The 19894-nt window shown below is 41.7% G+C and overlaps 2 protein-coding genes and 1 long non-coding RNA gene across 60 annotated transcripts in view, besides 5 other annotated features; 2 read left to right on the forward strand and 1 right to left on the reverse strand.

Annotated features, from left to right (window-relative positions):
- Positions 1–7846, forward strand: part of TANC1 (tetratricopeptide repeat, ankyrin repeat and coiled-coil containing 1) — a 264020-nt gene extending 256174 nt beyond the window's left edge. For 38 of the 39 annotated variants that reach the window (NM_001350065.2, XM_047446107.1, XM_047446108.1 and 35 more), the window contains 4 exons: positions 875–966; positions 3006–3152; positions 3983–4083; positions 4765–7846. In NM_001350065.2, coding sequence (NP_001336994.1) covers positions 875–966; positions 3006–3152; positions 3983–4083; positions 4765–6199 — 1775 coding nt within the window. In that variant the 3' untranslated portion in view covers positions 6200–7846. Of the gene's footprint in view, positions 1–874; positions 967–3005; positions 3153–3982; positions 4089–4764 lie in introns of all 39 variants that reach the window. The other variant, NM_001145909.2, reaches the window with a different exon arrangement.
- Positions 262–771: an enhancer, noted in NCBI's record as "H3K4me1 hESC enhancer chr2:160081586-160082095 (GRCh37/hg19 assembly coordinates)". NCBI's record gives its function as "activates a minimal SCP1, AML or CMV promoter by ChIP-STARR-seq in naive and primed H9 embryonic stem cells {active_cell/tissue: H9 hESC(naive and primed)}" and the evidence as "EXISTENCE:reporter gene assay evidence [ECO:0000049][PMID:30033119]".
- Positions 772–1280: an enhancer, noted in NCBI's record as "H3K4me1 hESC enhancer chr2:160082096-160082604 (GRCh37/hg19 assembly coordinates)". NCBI's record gives its function as "activates a minimal SCP1, AML or CMV promoter by ChIP-STARR-seq in naive and primed H9 embryonic stem cells {active_cell/tissue: H9 hESC(naive and primed)}" and the evidence as "EXISTENCE:reporter gene assay evidence [ECO:0000049][PMID:30033119]".
- Positions 8645–8814: an enhancer, noted in NCBI's record as "experimental_53624 CRE fragment used in MPRA reporter constructs". NCBI's record gives its function as "activates a minimal promoter by MPRAs in K562 erythroleukemia cells, with activity observed for both the introgressed and non-introgressed 2:160090054 or rs4665044 variant alleles {active_cell/tissue: K562}" and the evidence as "EXISTENCE:reporter gene assay evidence [ECO:0000049][PMID:34662402]".
- Position 8730: a transcriptional cis regulatory region, noted in NCBI's record as "Neanderthal adaptively introgressed variant 2:160090054 (GRCh37/hg19 assembly coordinates) or rs4665044 in the experimental_53624 CRE". NCBI's record gives its function as "modulates activity of the experimental_53624 enhancer by MPRAs in K562 erythroleukemia cells {active_cell/tissue: K562}" and the evidence as "EXISTENCE:reporter gene assay evidence [ECO:0000049][PMID:34662402]".
- Positions 9894–16251, forward strand: LOC105373716 (uncharacterized). Its single transcript, XR_002959431.1, has 2 exons — positions 9894–10452; positions 13212–16251. It is a non-coding gene; the product is annotated as an uncharacterized LOC105373716 (long non-coding RNA).
- Positions 10197–10366: an enhancer, noted in NCBI's record as "experimental_53635 CRE fragment used in MPRA reporter constructs". NCBI's record gives its function as "activates a minimal promoter by MPRAs in K562 erythroleukemia cells, with activity observed for both the introgressed and non-introgressed 2:160091606 variant alleles {active_cell/tissue: K562}" and the evidence as "EXISTENCE:reporter gene assay evidence [ECO:0000049][PMID:34662402]".
- The window catches only part of WDSUB1 (WD repeat, sterile alpha motif and U-box domain containing 1), a 50906-nt gene continuing 41996 nt past the window's right edge, over positions 10985–19894 (reverse strand). For 17 of the 20 annotated variants that reach the window (NM_001330279.2, XM_047443531.1, XM_047443529.1 and 14 more), the window contains one exon: positions 10985–11377. In NM_001330279.2, coding sequence (NP_001317208.1) covers positions 11220–11377 — 158 coding nt within the window. In that variant the 3' untranslated portion in view covers positions 10985–11219. Of the gene's footprint in view, positions 11378–15546; positions 17064–19894 lie in introns of those variants that run through there. The other 3 variants (XR_001738650.3, XR_007069663.1, XM_017003481.2) reach the window with 3 other exon arrangements.

Consider the following 19894-nt stretch of genomic DNA (forward strand, 5'->3'; position numbering starts at 1 on the left):
ACGATACTTGAGGATTGTGTGGGGGACCCTGAGTAGGGAAAGCCCTTTCCACGTGGCTGGCTTTGACACAAACACACCATTCCAGATGTGGGGAGGGTCACTATTTTGGTTTGATGTATGGAGCCCTTGGTCAGGAGCAGCTCTGGGTAGGGCACTGTGATGAAAATGCTATTCACTAATACTGTCAAGCAGTGAATAGTGCCAGGAACTATCCAAGCAGTTTCGCCCTCTGCCTTAATCCCTACCACAGCCCTGAAAGTCTCAGTGACAATCCCATGATTTTACAGATGAGGAAACCAAGGCACCGAGCAGCTAAATGGCTTCCCCCAGGACTGCCTTGTGGTACTCGCCGTGGGGACCTAGCAGCTGGCTCCAGGGCTGTGCTCTTCAGCACTCCTCCCACAGTGTCCCGAGAGCTCAGGCAGGGGTTAGAGAGGTTGTGGCCGAGCTGTAGGGTAGGAGAGAGAAGCCATGACATCTCGGAGTACAGCAGATGACACAGCACAGGGACTGCGTGCTGAGAACACATGCCTGCACGGTGGCCGCTGCAGGAACTGAGGAGGTTATGCTAAGGCCTCATTTAATTAATTTTCCCCACATCCCACCCGGAAGGGAGGAATGAGTTTTCGCTGCTCGGATGCCTTCGTTTCTCATTACTTTTTTCAGTAAAATAACAAGGACAGATTTGAGTGCCCAGGTCAGTGGGAAAGGATTAGCAACAGCCTCGCCGGCGTCCTGCTCCCTCCCTCATCGTGCTGTGGTCCTTGCAGCTGGGCTCCTGCTGGTGCTGACCTCCAGCCGTGGGGCCACGGAGGAATTGGGATCCTTTCCGCAGGGCCTCTGAAGTGCCTCTGAATGCGTGTTTGTTTTGCAGGAAATGCTGCTTGGGCGATGGCCACTTCCAAACCTGATATCTTGATTATACTTTTACAGAAATTAATGGAGGAAGGAAATGTGATGTACAAAGTAAGTGGTTCCGCCCTTTTCTTTGCCATTGAAACTGCCTGGGAGCACCCTCTTAATTGGGTACATAATGGCTACAGCTGTGCTACTGCACAGTCTCCATGTAATAGAAGTGCAAAAAGTGGCTGGGTGGGGTGGCTCACGCCTGTAACTCCAGCACTTTTGGAGGCCGAGGTGGGCAGATCACTTGAGGCCAGGAATTCCAGACCAACCTGGCCAATATGGCAAAACCCCATCTTTACTAAAAATACAAAAATCAGCCAGGTGCCTGTAATCCCAGCTACTCGGGAGGCTGAGGCAGGAGAATTGTTTCAATCTGGGAGGCAGAGGTTGCAGTGAGCTGAGATTGCACCACTGCACTCCAGCCTCAGCAACAGAGTGAGACTCAGTCTCAGAAGAAAAAAAAAAAAAGTGCCAAGAGGTGCTGACCTGGCCTCATGCCCGTTGTTGGCTTAATATCTTTCCGGCAGAATCTTAAAGGTAGAAAGCACCTCTCTTTGTGTCTGAGAGCCATTATTTCTGAGCTAATCCTTGAGGTTGTAGTGGTGACTTCCTGTCTGAAGCCATGGCGTGAAGCTGAGTCACCTCTAGGTCAACTGAACATCATAGAGAAGGTTCCTCAGCCCTTCACATTCTGAGTTCAGAACACCATGCTGAGGCACAGTCATGAGACGTGGGAGAGGAACACCCAGCAGACATTTCTAGAAGAAAAGGGTTATTCTGTCTCCTAAGCCTTTCCTAATTTTTAATATCTATTAATTTCTAGAATTTGAAAGTGTTGTTAGAGATTTTTACTTAATACAGTCAAGTAATACCTCAGTTACTCAGAAGACTGAATTAATTTTTTCCATTTTCCCTTGGAAATGGAAATATGATTTACAGATCAATAAACTTCACTTTAAATTTTTCCAAATAAGACATCAGTTTAGGTCAGAGGTCAGCAAACTTTTTTTGTAAAGGGCCAGACAGTAAATGTTTTAGGCTTTGCAGACTGTGTGGCCTCTGTCACAACTCCCCAGTTCTGATGTGGGGGCACAGATAGCACAGAGTGAATGAACACAGCTGTGTCCCAATAAAACTTTATTTGTAAACACAGGTGGCTGGCCAGACTTAGTATCCAAGCTATAGTTTGCCAACCCCTGGTTTAGATAGATATGCAGGCCATTTGCATAGGTCACTATTCTTTGCAGCTCTGTGATTAGACAGAATTAAAAGATTATAGGGGAAAAACTAGATTATGACCATGTTAATCCTTTTTACTGTTAGGCAGCTGTATTTGGTATGTTGTAGATTTTTTCCTTCTCATTTTTTAAAATAGTAACAAATAAATAGGCAATATAGCATGACCCAGCAGGGTTCCTGGCTTGGAATCAGCTTGAAATTGAGTTGAGTGTATTGTTGTGGCTTTGAAGTGCTTTTAATATGGATTGGTAGGCAATTATGTCAGAAATAGGAAGCCATTTTCAACAGGCTTCATACCTGCTGTGCAATGGGACTGACTGAGCAAATGGATTTTTTTAGCTTTGAAAATGATGTGTGGTGCTGTTCTGATTTTTAAAGCCCATGTTTTAATTCCTCTTAGAAGAAAAATTATTATTCTGCAGCAAGCTCTCTAGGTTTATCTACAAGATGCTACTTGTCCTAGGAATAGGATCAGTTTTTCATCTGATTTCTATTACACTTAGCATTCAAATAGATTTGAGATCATTCTTGAAATAATTTTCAAAAATACATACCAGAAGGTAATCTGATTCATTAAGTTTGGTAATTATCAATCTAGCAGTTTACAGACACCTTATTGTAAAACCAGCTTCTTTCTCACTGTGTAACCACAGGATGCGGGTGCATGTGAGGACAGTGAAGCCCTCATGTGCCAGCCCAGTTAGTGAACTAGCTCCCACCTTGACACTTGTTTGGATGCTTTCAATGTTCTGTCGTGGGTTTGCAGGGGGGAGTAAACTCCCCACGGTGTTCCAGGTGTGGGAGTTATTCATTTTAGAACCTCTGAAAAAGGACAAATGTTTGTGATTTTTGAATCCTAGAAAGGGAAAATGAAAGAGGCAGCCCAGAGGTACCAGTATGCCTTAAGAAAGTTTCCTCGAGAAGGATTCGGAGAGGACATGAGACCCTTCAATGAATTAAGGGTTTCCCTCTATCTCAATTTGTCGCGATGCCGAAGAAAAACAAATGTAAGCTGTGCCCCTTTATTCCAACCCAGTCTTCCAGCAACAGAGCCCTTCTCCAGCAGTGAAGGCCAGCCCTTCTCCAGACCAGATCCTGGGCCCTCCTGTCCAATTTGCTTGCACATTTACATGAACCTGGCATGTGGGAAACAGCTCCTATCCGTGACTATCGTTTGGTCACGGCTGCTACGCTCCTCGCATGATGTTGAAGGAATGCACTTGGGTTTCGTTTCCTTGGCCTCAGTAATGAGAAGCAAATGCAGTCTGCTCCTCTGCAGCTTCCCAACACTGTTGCTGCTGGCACTGCCGTCCCCGGATTCAGGAGAGTCCAACCCAAGCCTATTGTGGTGGGCCTGCCTTCTGTGTTAGGTTTGCTCAGAGGGTCTGCCAGTAACTAATTTGTAACCGGTCGTGGGGAACTCATAGTCGATTTGTAACTAGTAGATCTGTTTCAGTAGTACTTCCTACCTTTTTTTTAACTGTGTCCTCCTGCCCCAGTCTGTTGAGCTGCTTGCTTCTGTGCCCTGCTGCCGGAATAGATGCAGTGTCTGCGCTCCTCTCTGAGGCTGCCCCTCCACCGGGCTGTGAGGTTCCACCATCTGGCCTTCTTGGGGCACTGTTACTACCACTGTTTTCATAGTGGATTCTTCTCCTAATGATATTAATCAACCATCATTATCTCCTCACTTTAAAACAAGATAGAAAACGGAACTTTCCCTTCCTCCCTCTCTGGCTGTGCCTCAGAGCGCTGCTACCCTTTAGAACAAAACTAGACGGGCTTCCCACAATCGTGTGTCCAGGCTGCTTCTGACTCCTGTATTTCTTGTCGACACCAGGACTTTGGCATGGCAGAGGAATTTGCTTCCAAGGCTCTCGAATTGAAGCCCAAGTCCTATGAAGCCTTTTATGCCAGAGCAAGAGCGAAGAGAAATAGCAGGTACCGTCTGTGGTTATCTTTGTGTCTAGAGCTTTTTTTCTTGTGGGATCAAACCTGCCTGTTGAATTTGGGGAGGTTTTGCTGCAGAAGTGTTGCTCAGGTGCCTCTCATCCTTTTTAGTAGTGAATTAGTATTACTACCTGCTTCCAAGAGGCATAGTAGTGGACATTATCAGTGATGAGTAAACTTCTATTTTCTCCTGACGTCTCAATAATCATTCCTTCCCACCCCTCCCCCCACGTGAAACTTACTGCAACATGAACTTCCTACCTAGTTTAGTCCATATTTCAAGGAAACTGCCAACTAGGGACATTAGGAAGTTCAGAGGTGGGGAAGAGTGATATAAGCCTGTTGACTGAGAGATGGGCACAGTGTTACCATGGGATGGTAACAATATTAAAAAGATTCTGGCGCCCACTGATTCATGCTTCTCCCTATTCCCAGTCCAGTGGTCTTTATGGAGAGCAGGGCTGTAGAGTCCCACCTACCTAGGTTAGAATTCAGCACTGCCACTTAGCTGAGTTACTCTGGGCTGGTTAAGTGGGTCCTGGCCACCACCGTAAGTGTTCAAAACTCACTTGCTACCTTCTCTTTCCTTTGAGCACAGCTCTTTTATGAACAGTTACACTCTGAGCATGTTCGTGTGTGGTTTGTAATGTTACCTTACATTTTCCTACAAAGGCAATTCGTGGCAGCTCTGGCTGACCTGCAAGAGGCTGTGAAACTCTGTCCCACCAATCAGGAAGTCAAGAGGCTTCTGGCCCGCGTAGAAGAGGAGTGCAAACAACTCCAGAGGAGTCAACAGCAAAAACAGCAGGGCCCGCTACCAGCTCCACTCAACGACTCCGAGAACGAAGAGGACACCCCAACCCCTGGCTTAAGTGACCACTTTCACTCTGAGGAGACTGAAGAGGAAGAAACTTCTCCCCAGGAAGAATCTGTTTCCCCAACTCCCAGGTCCCAGCCATCCTCATCTGTCCCTTCCTCATACATCCGAAACCTTCAAGAAGGGTTACAGTCCAAAGGAAGGCCGGTATCGCCACAGAGCAGGGCAGGAATCGGCAAGTCCCTGAGAGAGCCTGTGGCCCAGCCAGGGCTGCTCCTGCAGCCCTCCAAGCAGGCCCAGATCGTGAAAACCAGCCAGCACCTGGGCTCTGGCCAGTCGGCAGTGAGAAATGGCAGTATGAAAGTTCAGATCTCTTCTCAGAACCCTCCTCCAAGTCCCATGCCAGGGAGAATCGCTGCCACTCCTGCTGGGAGCAGAACCCAGCATTTAGAGGGAACAGGTACTTTCACTACAAGAGCTGGTTGTGGCCACTTTGGGGATCGGCTGGGCCCCAGCCAGAATGTCCGCCTGCAGTGTGGTGAGAATGGCCCTGCACACCCTTTACCAAGTAAGACGAAAACCACAGAGAGGCTTCTGTCTCATTCCTCCGTGGCTGTGGACGCAGCCCCTCCAAACCAAGGTGGGCTGGCGACCTGCAGCGACGTGCGACACCCAGCTTCCCTCACCAGCTCAGGCTCTTCTGGTTCTCCATCCAGCAGCATAAAGATGTCAAGTTCAACCAGTAGTTTGACTTCGAGCAGCAGTTTTTCAGATGGCTTCAAGGTCCAAGGACCAGATACTAGAATTAAAGACAAGGTTGTAACCCACGTTCAGAGCGGTACAGCTGAGCACAGACCCCGCAACACGCCGTTCATGGGCATCATGGATAAGACTGCGAGGTTCCAACAGCAGAGCAATCCTCCAAGCCGCAGCTGGCACTGTCCGGCACCAGAGGGGCTGCTGACAAACACGTCTTCTGCAGCTGGCCTGCAGTCTGCTAACACTGAGAAGCCCTCTCTCATGCAAGTGGGAGGATATAATAACCAAGCCAAAACCTGTTCTGTTTCTACCCTGAGTGCAAGTGTCCACAATGGGGCACAAGTGAAGGAGCTAGAAGAAAGCAAGTGCCAAATTCCAGTCCACTCTCAAGAGAACAGGATAACTAAGACTGTTTCTCATCTGTACCAGGAAAGTATCTCCAAACAGCAGCCTCATATTAGTAATGAAGCCCACAGGAGCCACCTCACTGCAGCCAAACCAAAGCGATCATTTATAGAGTCAAATGTGTGAACCTTAAGAAATCCCCATTTGTGGAATTTGGAAACGTGTGTTGACTCCTGGTGGTAAATTAAATAGTTTTTTTCATCAGAAAAATTATTTTTTAGCCATTTTTTTTCTTTGGGGTGGATCTGATGCCATTGATATATCTAAAATGTGGGATAAAACTTCTTTAATAGCTAGAAATCACCATAAATAAGAATGCTAAACAGAATTGAAAATTATATCAACTTAAAATTTTAAGACAGCCCAGAAGACATTAATGACTCTCACTTATGAAATTGTTTGGCTTTTGCCACTTTCTTCCTTGCCTTTGCTATATGGTAGAATCACAGAACTTACTTAGAGAATAAATATGTCTATTGTTCAAGAGTAACAGGTTTAACTCATGACCAAGTGATGTACATCCAAGTGATGTATTCTGGAAACGATGGAATTTTACAGTTACAGTTCCATTGAGTCAAATCCCATTTTATATATACATAAAAATTAAGTTCTGAGTGAGTTCTAGCTAAATATAAGTGCGACTGTAAACGCAGCCAATTTTTTTAAGCAGAATATGAGAACACCTAAGTATTCTCTTCATAGCAGTTCCTATAAAGGGATTAAACACTTATTTCTGTGTTATGGTTCTTATTCATATATTTTTATAGCACTTTTGGAACCTATATTTGTGCTTGAAGGTGTTTTTGATATTTGGAAACAGTATAAGCCATTTGGAGTCATGATTGGTGGTCAAGTGGATTCAAGCTAAAATACTAAGACCAGCATTCTTAGTGGCGCTTATAAATTAGCTCTCACCTGGTTTCCAAACTGCTTTTAACAATGGTAGTGCTCCTGGAACAATCCTTCCAAGCTCCTCTAAGGACAATATTTAATTCAGATACTAAAGGTAAGACTGGTTGTTACTTTTGTTTTGTTGTACAATTAGTACTTTATAGTCACATGTTGTATATATTAAATAGCCCAGTTTTATTCAGACTTGTAAATAGAACTATTTCAATGTAGTTAATCTAAAAACAAAAAAGAAAACCCCAGTCACGATTTGCATGTTCTCTGTAAGCTTCATCCATGCTGGTTATTGCACTGAATGATATATTATTAGGGCATGTTAACAGTATACCAGTAACAGCACTTTATCTCATTTATATGAACACCTTTGAGGTGCTACTTAAGTCCAAGCTCTGATGTATTATTCATTTGTAAAGATAAGGTACAGGAATGAACCTTGGTTTAAAGGTATTTTTATATGAAAATGGTGTGTTATTGGAAGATGTTAAAATGCTAATTTGAGAGAAGTAGGAGTGTATCTGTTTTATATGTTGGGATGTGAAATTTATTTTCTAAAATTGAGGAGAAGGAAGTTATATATTTGCAGAATGTTTTAAAGTGAATTGTTGTAATGAAGTTCCTGTGAACATCATTATGGTTTTGTACAAATAGGAACCTCTGATGTCATTCTTCAACGTTTGTTCCTGTGTGTACAATTGTACTTTGTATGAACAGCTTTATCATTTTTATAGGCTTTCCATGAGTTTTGCTGTAACTACTATGGCTTATTTATTTTCTTTAATATTTGTGAAAGTCTTACTCCTTTGTTAGTTTTGTTTCTGCACAACTACTGTACTTTTCCATATGGAATAAAGACTATTAATAGAATGTGTTTTGCACTAAATGAGTCAATGGATAAGTAGAGAACAGCCTGATGACAGCTATCTCTGTTGCTTTTAATCTTTGTTACCCTAGAGGGAATAGTGAAAAGCATATTTTATATTAACACTACAAAATGCTTATTTAATTTCGTTTTATAATTTCAGAATAAGGGTGACAGCTGCTAGAAATTCCACAATACTCAAGGGCCAAATTTAGTCTTTTTGCCTCAAATAGAAAGAAAGCATGCAGGAAAGCAATATATACTTCCTATCTATCTGTTTCAAGACATCTTGGTGTCTGTTTTTACTGGCAACGGGACATCTTTACTACTGTAATTCTCAAACACTTTGGCAATACACTGAACACTGTTATGACAGTTTGTTCTTTAACACATTTGTATTATCTTTCAGTTAAAAGTATGTCTTTATGCCTACATATTTCAAAGTAATATGAGAGAGAACATTAAACTGTGTTGTATTGTGATAAAATTCTTGGAATCTTAAACATCATAATACCTCAGGTTATTTGGTCACTGCTCTTGCTAGCAAGGCTAAGTAGTTTCAGTCCTTTAGAGCTTTATATTTAATGGAAGGTTAAAAACAAAAACGGGATGGGAAGGAACGTATCGCCTAATACATAATTCTTGTCATTAGATGATTTTTCCTGTAAAGGAGCTAATAAGAATATTCTCGTAATTTATTGTACATTATGATTTTGATATATACTTAGTAAAGATAAGTAAGGTACTTGGCCCAGCCAGGAAGAGGTGATACATCCTTAGAAAGCTAATGGTCAGTCCTGACAGGACTGGGTGGTGGGCAGGTGTTGCTGCTCCACATTGCCCTGAACTAACAGTGGGGTCTGGAGTGCCCAGCATGGGGGCTGTTTCATGTCCCCTCTTACTGATGGTTTTGGTTTGCTTGTGTGGAAGACAGTTGTTCGGCTTTGGTTTATGTTTTATACAAGAAGAGATGTGTCAATTAGGTAAATTACTGGCATCTTAGTTTTCAGCAGTTTTGTTTTACAAGAAACTAGCCTGGTAAAGTATAAGAATGCAAAATACTGGCTGGGCGTGGTGGCTCATGCCTGTAATCCCAGCACTTTGGGAGGCCAAGGCGGGCGGATCACGAGGTCAGGAGATAGAGATCATCCTGGCCAACATGGTGAAACCCCGTCTCTACTAAAAATACAAAAATTAGCTGGGCGTGGTGGTGTACGCTTGTAGTCCCAGCTACTCAGGAGGCTGAGGCAGGAGAATCACTTGAACCCAGGAGGCAGAGGTTGCAGTGAGCCGAGATTGCACCACTGCACTCCAGCGCAAGTCTCAAAAAAAAAAAAAGAAAGAAAGAAAAGCAAAATACCTTAACACTTATTTTAAAAAATGCCTTTTTGGCCAGGCGTAGTGGCTCACGCCTGTAATCCCAGCACTTTGGGAGGCCAAGGTGGGCGGATCACAAGGTCAGGAGATGGAGACCCTCCTGGCTAACACATGGTGAAACCCCGTCTCTACTAAAAATACAAAAAATTAGCTGGGTGTGGTGGCGTGCACCTGTAGTCCCAGCTACTCAGGAGGCTGGGGCAGGAGAATGGCGTGAACCCAGATCGCTCCACTACACTCCAGCCTGGGTGACAGAGCGAGACTCCGTCTCAAAAAAAAAAAAAAAAAAAAGGCTTTTTGCATTTTCTAGCAATGACTTTGAATGATTTAATTTTTATTTAAAAACCAGCTAACCTCCTCCATCGGAAAATGTCTATCAAAACAGAGACAGCTGGACCAATGGTAAGTTCTTTTAAGTTTAAAAAGTGTTCTGCTGAAATTATTAGCATACTTTATTTAAAGAATACAACAGAAAAACGGCCGGGCCTGGTGGCTCACGCCTGTAATCCCAGCAACTTGGGAGGGCAAGGCAGGTGGATCATGAGCTCAGGAGTTTGAGACCAGCCTAGCCGACATGGTGAAACCCTCTCTCTACTAAAAATACAAAAAGTAGCTGGGTGTGGTGGCACGCACCTGTAATCACAGCTACCTGGGAGTGAGGCAGGAGAATTGACTGAACCCAGGAGGCAGAGGCGGCAGTGAGCCAAGATCGTGCCATTGCACTCCAGCCTGGGTGACAGAGCGAGACCCTACAAGAAAAGAATACAACAGAAAAACACCTAGAACATGCTTCTAGCCTTTCTAATCCTCAATAGTAAGAATGTGAGAAGCATGTCATATTAATAAAAAAGTTTTCTGGAACCATTGATTATGAATCCTAGTTATGTCGTAAAGGTTAACAAAGTTTAGCAATACATTAAGTTAAAAAGGTTTACAAAGAATTACAAAGAAATGTTTGGAGATTTCCATGTTAGCAAGGCTTGCTGCCTTTCTGTGAACATGCAGCATATTAGCTATGAGTTCATAAAATGCGTAGTCAGCCTTTTCCTATATTTACATTGCTTTTCCCTTTTTATTTCCAAGTTTCAACGTTCCTGAACAATTCTTCAGCAACTGGAGGTAATAGTGCAAAGAAGGGTGCAGTCCCAGAGGCTCAGCCTGCGCTGACAGTGAAGTTCTAACAAGCTTCCCGCGGATGGCTTCCATTCTAGTAACAACTTTGGACAGGCAAGAAGTTAGCACCACCTTTACTTCCTGAACCTGAAGTTTTTTTTCTGGAGTGAACATATCAGGCTATTGTGTAAAAATGCCTTTGTATAGTTACTCCAGCTTAGAATTATATGTGAGAACATTTAATAATTCTTCATTCTGAAGGGAGGCTAGAGTTTGTCACGTTATATATTTCAGCAAAGTCAACTTGACTTACTCAGAATTTATTTCATCTAACTTGTACCTAGGTTTGGAAAATAAGAAAAAAATCGTTATCCTGCAAACTTAAAATCCAAAAAAATTGCTTCAACATCTGAAGTGATTTTTCTCCATTTAATCATAAACAATCTACAACCATTTTGCTACAAAATGGTCTCTTTAAAAGGCCTCCAAAGAGTTATTGAATGAATGGCTATTACCTAGAATGTAAACATCTGTTATTCTAGAGTAGTCCAACCTTTAGTTATAAAGAGAGATGACCTACATCTAACAAGAATAAATGTGGGCACTGTTGGGAATGATAGTAAGAGGAATTTAAAAAACTTAGGACACTGCAATTTAAAGTATAACTTTATTTCTATATAGCTGAAGATTCTTTTCACTAGTACAAAAAGGCTTTTATAGTAAGTCCATGTGTTTTTTAAAGAATGAAAATTGACAATTTTTATAGGTAACTAAATTTAAGAAGTTTACCTTTTTCCTGTTTTGCTTTTAATAATGTCTGATTAGTATTTACCTATAAATCATTCAAATGAGATCACTGAAAATATAAATAATACAATATCAACAATTTTACTTTTGGTGTGTCTCCAGCCATCTATTGATGGCCATTTTCAGAGTCCTATTTGGTGTAAGTACCGCTGAAGGAAGAACAAGATTTGTCATGGGACTTGTACGTTTCTTTTTGCTGATCCAATTTTCCATTGCTTCCTTTTCATATGAATAGCCATCTAAAAAAAAAAAATCACACAAATTACATGATGTAGGAAAGGGAAATGAGGATGTCTAAAATGAAGTGAATGTAAAAACTCCCTGCAGAGGCCTTTATTGTGACTTAAGGGTTATTCCTGTCTTGCTTGTACCAGCACCCCCAAAAATCTCTCTGCCACAACACCTGAAATGCATTGATTGGATGGAGACGTATGAAGCAAAAATTGCCCAGAAGAGTAACATTATAAACACTTTGAACAGTACCACTGAGACTGGGACCCTGTCAAATTCAGACACAGTGGAAGAGAAGAAAGGAACAGAGCTGGGTAGAGTGGGAGTGAGGATAAACTGCCCATCAGAGCTGTTGGAAAGTTTGGCTGAATCATAAGGCTCTTTTCAACACCTTGAAAAGTCAGGAAAACAGGTACCCAGAGATGACAGAATTTACTCCCCTAAGGATTTGACAGCGAAGGGACTTAGGTTTTTTTGTTTGTTTGTTTGTTTTGAGACCAAGTCTCACACTGTTGCCCAGGCTGGCATACACTGGCGAGATCTTGGCTCACTGCAAGCTCCACCTCCCAAGTAGCTGGGATCACAGGCACCTGGTACCACATCTGGCTAATGTTTTGTATTTTTAGTAGAGTTTCACTATGTTGGCCAGTCTGGTCTTGAACTCCTGACCTCAGGTGATTCACCCACCTTGGCCTCCCAAAGTGCTGGGATTACAGGCATGAGCCACCATGCCCGGCCACCAAGGTTTTTTTAAAACCATATTCTTGCAAAATTATTTGCCTTTATACATGTAAAGATTGGACTTTTGCTTCACTACTTTCATTTTTATACTTGTAGCTCTTTCTCAAGCTGAAAATCTTGGTTCCTGATTTCATTTACTCATTTAGTCTACAGTACATATCACTGTTTCAAAATAATGCCAGTATATTTACTAACATAAAACTGAAAGAAATTTTAAGATTACTTTATGGTTCTTTCCGTCATCAAGGACTAGAGTGGTCCCAAAATACTGTGTCTGAAAACAACACTTACTTGGTTTCAAAGTTAAAACTATAGGCTGGGCGTGGTGGCTTTCACCTGTGATCCCAGCACTCTGGGAGGCCAAGGCGGGTGGAGCCACTTGAGGTCAGGTGTTTGAGACCAGCCTGGCCAACATGGCAAAACCCTACCTCTACTAAAAATACACAAATTAGCTGGGCATGGTGGCAGGTGCCTGTAATTCCAGCTACTCAGGAGGCTGAGGCAGGAGAATCACTTGAGCCCGCGAGACAGAGGTTGCAGTGAGCTGAGATCGCACCACTGCACTCCAGCCTGGGTGACAGAGCAAGACTCCATCTCAAAAAAAAAAAAAGTTACAACTATAAAACAAGGTACCTTCAGAGGGGTCTAATCTAACCCTGTCCAATCCTTGTTACCCACCCTTCCCATATAAGTAACCATGTGTAATCCATTTTCAAATATGTATATGTGCACACAGTACATATACATTCTACATAAAAGCTAGCATACTAGCCACACTATTTTGCAACTTGGTGTGTTTATTTTCCCCACAGTACTCCACTGTAAGGATGTAAGATGTAAGGACATCTGGGTGGTTTCCAATCTTTGCCTTTTACAAATAGTGCCGTACCAAGGAAACCCCAAGAAAACCATACACACACAAAATACAAATAGTGCTACAATGAAGTCTTATGCATGTGTCACTTTTGGGGAGATTTCAGAAGTAGGATTGCTAAAGCAGCATATATAATCTCGCTAGATAGTGCCAACTTCCTTCCATAGGAATTCTAAGTTTTTCATTCCTGCTAGCAATGTTTATGAGAATGCCTTTTTCCCCTACAGCCTAACCAACAGTATATGTTGTCAAACTCCTGGATTTTTGCCAGTCTCTAGGTAAGCGATGGTACAGTATATCAGCTGGAGAATCTTTTGTTCATATGTTTGAGCCATTTGCTTTTCTTTTTCCTGTGAGCTATTCATATTTTTTGCCCATTTTTCTACTAGGTTGTCCTTAAGATTTCATATATATGGAATATCAACACTTCATCAATTTCTCCCTTGATTCCCAGAGAGCGAAGTTTTCCCAATTCTATCAAGGAATTTACTTACAAATTCTATCAAGGAATTTACTTACATTGTCTTTGGGACTTTAAAAGTCTTTGAAGAGATGGGGTCCTGCTGGTCTCAAGCTCCTGGGCTCAAGTGACCCTCCTTACATCAGCTTCCGGAATAGCTGGGACTCCAGGTACAAGCCGCTGCGCTCTGCAGGTTTCCCTTTTTATGTCTGGGTTTCTGATTCATTTGGAATTTAAATATACACTATGCAAGATGGATCCAATTTTATCCTTTTCCACAGGGTGGTCTTATTGTCAAAATACCACTTGTTAGAAGTGATTTTTACCACTGATTTTAAATGCTATCTTTATCAATCACTAAATTTCCAAATGTACATGGATCGATTTCTGGATTTTAAACTTTTCCATTGTTCTATTCCTGGGCCAACACTACACATTCACTTATGGAGGTTCTCGACATGTAACATCTCATAGGACCAGCAACCTTCCTCATTGTTTTTTTCTAGGTTATTTTTGCTGTTCTTGTTTATTAGGTTCCACGTGAAGAATCACCTTGTGTATCTCTCGGTAAAAAGTTTTATCAGGATCATGTCAACCCTATGAAATGGAGAAAGCTGATATCCCGCAGCCACTGAGTCTTCCTACCCCTCAGCATGCTCCACCTGCCATTATACTTTCACAGGGATGTTTTTGTTTTTATGTAGGGTTGAAAGTTTTACCTATTTCTTAAGTTTGGGGTTTTGGTGTGTGTGGTTTTTTTCTAAGATAGGGTCTCACTCTGTCACCCAGGCTAGAGTCCAGTGACATGACGGTAGCTCACTGCAGCCTCGACCTCCCAGGCTCAAGCAATCCTCTCACCTCATCCTCCCAAGTAGCTGGGACTACAGGCATACACCACAACACCTGGCTAATTTTTAAAAATTTTTTGTAGAGAAGGGGGTCTCATTACGTTGCCCAGGCTGGTCTAGAACACCTTGGCTCAAACAACGCTCCCACCTTGGCTTCCCAAAGTGCTGGGTTTACAGACATGGATTATACTGCACCCAGCCAAGTTTAGGTCTCATTTGTTCTAGTTTTTGTTACTGTAACTTAACTATTCAGTTATAACTTTTAAGTGCTTTGGTTCACTGAATCTTACTTAACTTGCTACTTTACAAAATTCATATTGTTTATAGATTTTCTATTCTTTTGGGCTTTCTACATATACAGTTATATAGAAAGGGTTTTTCCCTTTCAAGTTTTTTTTGGTGGGGGGGCAAGGGGTGGCTAATATTTCTAAAACAATAGCTGAGAGAGAGCATCCTTTATATCCCTGACTGTAATGGGAATGCTTCCACTGGCTTCTGTGCCAAGGTATATGTATTTTTTATCATATAAGAAAGTCGGCTAGGCTCAGTGGCTCATGCCTATAATCTCAGCAATTGGGAGGCCAAGGCAAGTGGATCACTTGAGCCCTGGAGTTTAAGACCAGCCTGGGCGACATGGTGAAACCCCAGATCTGGATTGTTTTGGTTGTTTCACCTCTGTGTTACTTTTGCCTACTTACAAATTAGTACCAGCTGTGTAGCTCCCCCACCTTGGGGGCCTGAGTTCTGGCCCTGAGAGACTGAGGTTCTGAGAAACTAAACTTCTGTTTCCTCCGTCCTAGAGAAGGAAACATGCTTTCTGCAGAAACTGTTACCTGTGACTGCCTTTTGCTCTTTTTGAGATATATTTCACACCATAAAATGCACCCATTTGTGGTTCTTGGTATATTTCAGAGTTGTGTATCACTCCATCAATCCCATACCCATTAGCAGTCACTGCCCCCGCAGCGTGTGGCCACCTCTAACTGACTTTGTCTCTATGGATTTGCCTGTTTTGGGCATTTCATATAATGGGAATCATACACTATGCAGCCTTTGGTATAGGGCTTCTTGCACTTACCATAATTTTTCCAAGGTCCATCCTCTACATATTTGTGCATTTTTATGGCTCGATATTCTCTTGTATGGCTATACGACATTTCATGCATTCACTTGTTGATGGACATCTGGGTTGTTTCCACCTTTGGGCTACTAATAATGCTGCTATGCCTGTACAACTTTTTGTATGATTATGTGTTTTCAATTCTCCTGCCTATAGACTTAGGAGTGGAATTGTAATAACTTTCTGAAGAGCTTCCAGACTGTTTTCAACAGCAACCACACATGAAGGTTCCATTTTCTGCACATCCTTGCCAACACGTATTTTCCTACTTTTTGATTCTAGCCATCTTAACAGGTATGACATGGTTTTGATTGGCATTAATGACACTGACCGTCTTTTGAAGTGCTTATTGCCAAACAGCATATCATTAGACTGTTCCAGGGCACCATTACCTATATTAACTTCTTTAATCTGCACAACAACCTTATGATGTAAGATATTGTTAGCATTCCTATTTTATAAATGAGGAAACTGAGGTATGGCCTGAATAACTTTCCAGGGTCACACAGGTAGGGAGCAACTGACCTGGGATTTAAACCCAAGCAGTGTGGCTCCACAGACAATGCTCTTACTCTCCCTGTACACGGGACTTCCAGAAAGGACAACTATAGTAACTGAAATTTTAAAAAAATCTCATTGGACAGGTAAACAGCAGTTAGACAACTGCAGGAAAGACAACTGGTAGGCAGGTCCAAGAAAAACACCTAGAAAGGCTTAAGAGAGAAGCTGCAGGGGATGAGAATGGCTGAAACATTTCCAGAACTAGTGAAAGGCATGAAAGAGAAAAGTCTACGATGACAAATAGGAATTAGACAGTATACTTGAACTGCAACTGAAAAGCATACCTGAAGTCAGAGTATAACCAAGTATAACCCAACACGGTGAAGGCTCTAGAGAAAAAGCAGAGTGGGCAGATCAGGTTTAGGAGGTTTTTATATGTTCAGAATAGACCTGAAAGAAATAATCTAGCTGGAACACCTACCAGTGCAGGGCAGGCATTTCTACTCTTTAGCCCCAGTTAACATTTAGTTTTTAGGTTTTCTGTAATTCTAACCAAAATACCACTTTGTGTTGTAACATAAGATGATTCTAAAATTTATCTTGGCTGGGCACATCACTTGAGGTCAGGAGTTCAAGACCAGCCTGGCCAACGTGGCAAAACCCTGTCTCTACTAAAAATACAAAAATTAGCCAGACATGGTGGCACGTGCCCATAATCCTAGCTACTAGGGAGGCTGAGGCAGGAGAATCGCTTAAACCCAGGAGGTAGAGGTCTCAGTGAACTGAGATCATGTCACTGCATTCCAGCCTGGGTGACACAGTGAGACTCTGTCTCAAAACAAAAATTATCTTGACAGCTAAATTGGCAAAAATGACCAAGCCAAATTTTTTTAAAGATTGGACATAACTAAAAAGGTACAGCAGTGCCTATCAGTATTAGGAATGTATACAAATGTACCTGTAAATACATGACTGGGGATGTTTTCTTTTTTCTTTTTTTTTTTGAGATGGAGTCTCACATTGTCGCCGGGGCTAGAGTGCAGTGGCATGATCTCGGCTCACTGCAACCTCTGCCTTCCGGGTTCAAGCAATTCTCCTGCCTCAGCCTCCCAAGTAGCTGGATGTTTTCTATAGAGTCACTTGTGGTAAGCTGGCAAAAAAATGGAGAAAGATGCCTATAAACAGAGTAAGAGTTAATTTCGGTAACATCCATACCAGGAAATGCTATCCTGCAGATAAGAATGAAGCATGTACTTCCAAATACACTGACAAATGGTGTTCTCTCTGATACACTGTTTGATACACTGTTGATAAACAAAAGCAACTTTTATTTATTTATTTAGAGATGGAGTCTCGCTCTGTCGCCCAGGCTGGAGTGCAGTGGCACGATCTCGGCTCACTGCAAGCTCTGCCTCCTGGGTTCATGCCATTCTCCTGCCTCAGCCTCCCAAGCAGCTGGGACTACAGGCACACGCCACCACACCCAGCTAATTTTTTTTTAAATATATTTTTAGTAGAGACGGGGTTTTACCGTGTTAGCCAGGATGGTCTCGCTCTCCTGACCTCATGATCTGCCCACCTCGGCCTCCCAAAGTGCTGGGATTACAGGCGTGAGCCACCACACCCGGCCAAAAGCAACTTTTTAAAAATATGCATCAGGCTGGGTGAGGTGGCTCACACCTGTAATCCCAGCATTTTGGGAGGCGGGCAGATCACCTGAGGTTGGGAGATCGAGACCATCCTGGCTAACAAGGTGAAACCCCATCTCTACTAAAAATACAAAAAATTAGCTGGGTGTGGTGGCACATGCCTGTAATCCCAGCTACTCTGAGGCAGGAGAATCGCTTGAACTGAGGAGGCAGAGGTTGCAGTGAGCCAAGATTGTGCCATTGCACTCCAGTCTGGGCAACAAGAGCGAAACTCCCTCTCAAAAATAAATAAAGTATGCATCATAACTCATTTGTTATAAGACACTATAAATGGATGGAAAAATAACTAGAAGGATACACCTAAACCGTATCATTGCTACATGAGAATACAGAAGAGCCCCCATTTTTAAAATCGCTTGTCTGTTTTTCACTAAGCCCGTATTACTTTCATAATTTAAAAGTATGAATAAAAATGAGGTACAAGAATGCTGAAATACAAACAGGTCCTGAAAATTTTTCTGAGGCAATTAGTCCAATAGATATAAAAATATACATAAGGAAAAACTGAAAAAAGATGTATTCTGAATATTCAGAAAAATGTAGGTGGGAAAAGGAAAGTAGAAGAGAAATTAGAATTATATGCTGGCAGGAATTTCTCCACACATGTATCAATCATCAATAGAAAGAAATTGGTTCAATTCTGCTATTAATGATTAGGATTGGGTTTTTTAAAAAAATTCAACTGTATGTTTCCCATAGGAACACCTATAAAACAAAGTAACACAGGAAGGTTAAAAATAAATGAGTGGTAAGTCTACAGGGATTACGCTAAGAAAAAAAAGCCACTTGAAAGCTGTTTTACTACATGATTCCACTGATATACCATTTTTGAAATGGTGGACAAATTAGTGGTTTCCAGGGGCTGGGGTCGGAAGACAGTAGGGAGATCATGGGTCCAGTTATAATTTGGAAGTGCTCTGTCTCAACTGTAGTAAGGTAATCACAAACCTCTAGACAGGATAAGACTGTGTAGAGCTTCACACACACAGATAAGTACAAGTAAAACTGGGGAAATCTAAGATCTGTGGGTTCTAGCAATGTCAATATCCTGGTTGTGATATAATAGTATCATTTTGAAAAATGTTACCAGTGGGGAAAGCTGGGAAGTGCACAAGGTATATGTCTCTATTGTTTCTTATAACAGCATCAATTAAAAATAATAAAATTTAAAAATAAATGTGTGGTACCAGAAAGGTTAAAATCAAAGACATAGACAATAGGAAAAAGTAAGGCTGTGAAGCAATTAGAATTCCTATACACTGCTGGTGGGCATAGAAAGTGATTTAACCACTCTGGAATGCTATTTATGTATACCTTCTCCTAGGAATATAGCCAACAGAAATGCATACATATGTTAACCAAAAAAACATGTACAGAAAGGTTCATAGCAGCACTATATATAACAGCCAACAATGCCCATCAACAGAATGAATTATATGCACACAATGGACTTCTATACAGAAATGAAAATTAAACTGCTTTGTGCAACAATATAAATGAATCTCACAAACATGTTTAAGAAGCCAGACCCAAGAGAGAGACACGTTATGATCCAATAGCAAACTAATAAAGCAATCTATCCTATTATAGTCTAAAGGAGGAAAAAAAATATGTCAATAGCCTAAAAATTCTCAGCAAACTGGAGATAGAAGGGAACTAACTTGATAAGGGGAGCTAATTATCATACTTAATGGTGAAAGTTGAATGCTTTCCCTCTAAGTGCAGGTGAAGGTAACAATGTCTACACACCACTTCTTTTCAACATTGTACTGGAAATTCTGACCCAAAATAACATGAAAAGAAAAAAAGGATTCATACAAATTGGAAAGAAAGAAATTACTTACATGACACACTCATGTATGAAGAAAGTCTATTAAGCTTCTATTAAAAAGCTACTAACAGCCCTACATATCTAAGGGGTCTGCATCCACTGATTCAACTAACTGCTGATAAAAAAAAAAAAAAAGCCAATACAGTATAACAGCTATTTACAAAGCACTTACATTGTATTGGGCATAAGTAAGCTAGAGATGATTTGAAAGGGGACAGGATGTGTGGTGTGTAGAGAGCATCCACAGACTTTTGTGTTGAGGGAGTTGGTTACTGAAGGATGACTTTACTACTCAATGTAGCAAGGTCACAAAGTCAATATATAACATTGTATTTCTATTTGCTCAAATTGTACAGTTATAAAAATATGAGCTACTGGCCAGGCTCAGTGGCTCACACGTCTTATCTCAGCACTTTGGGAGGACAAGGCAGGAGGATGGCT

Source organism: Homo sapiens, chromosome 2 (assembly GCF_000001405.40).
Source record: "Homo sapiens chromosome 2, GRCh38.p14 Primary Assembly".
Lineage (NCBI taxonomy): Eukaryota > Metazoa > Chordata > Mammalia > Primates > Hominidae > Homo > Homo sapiens.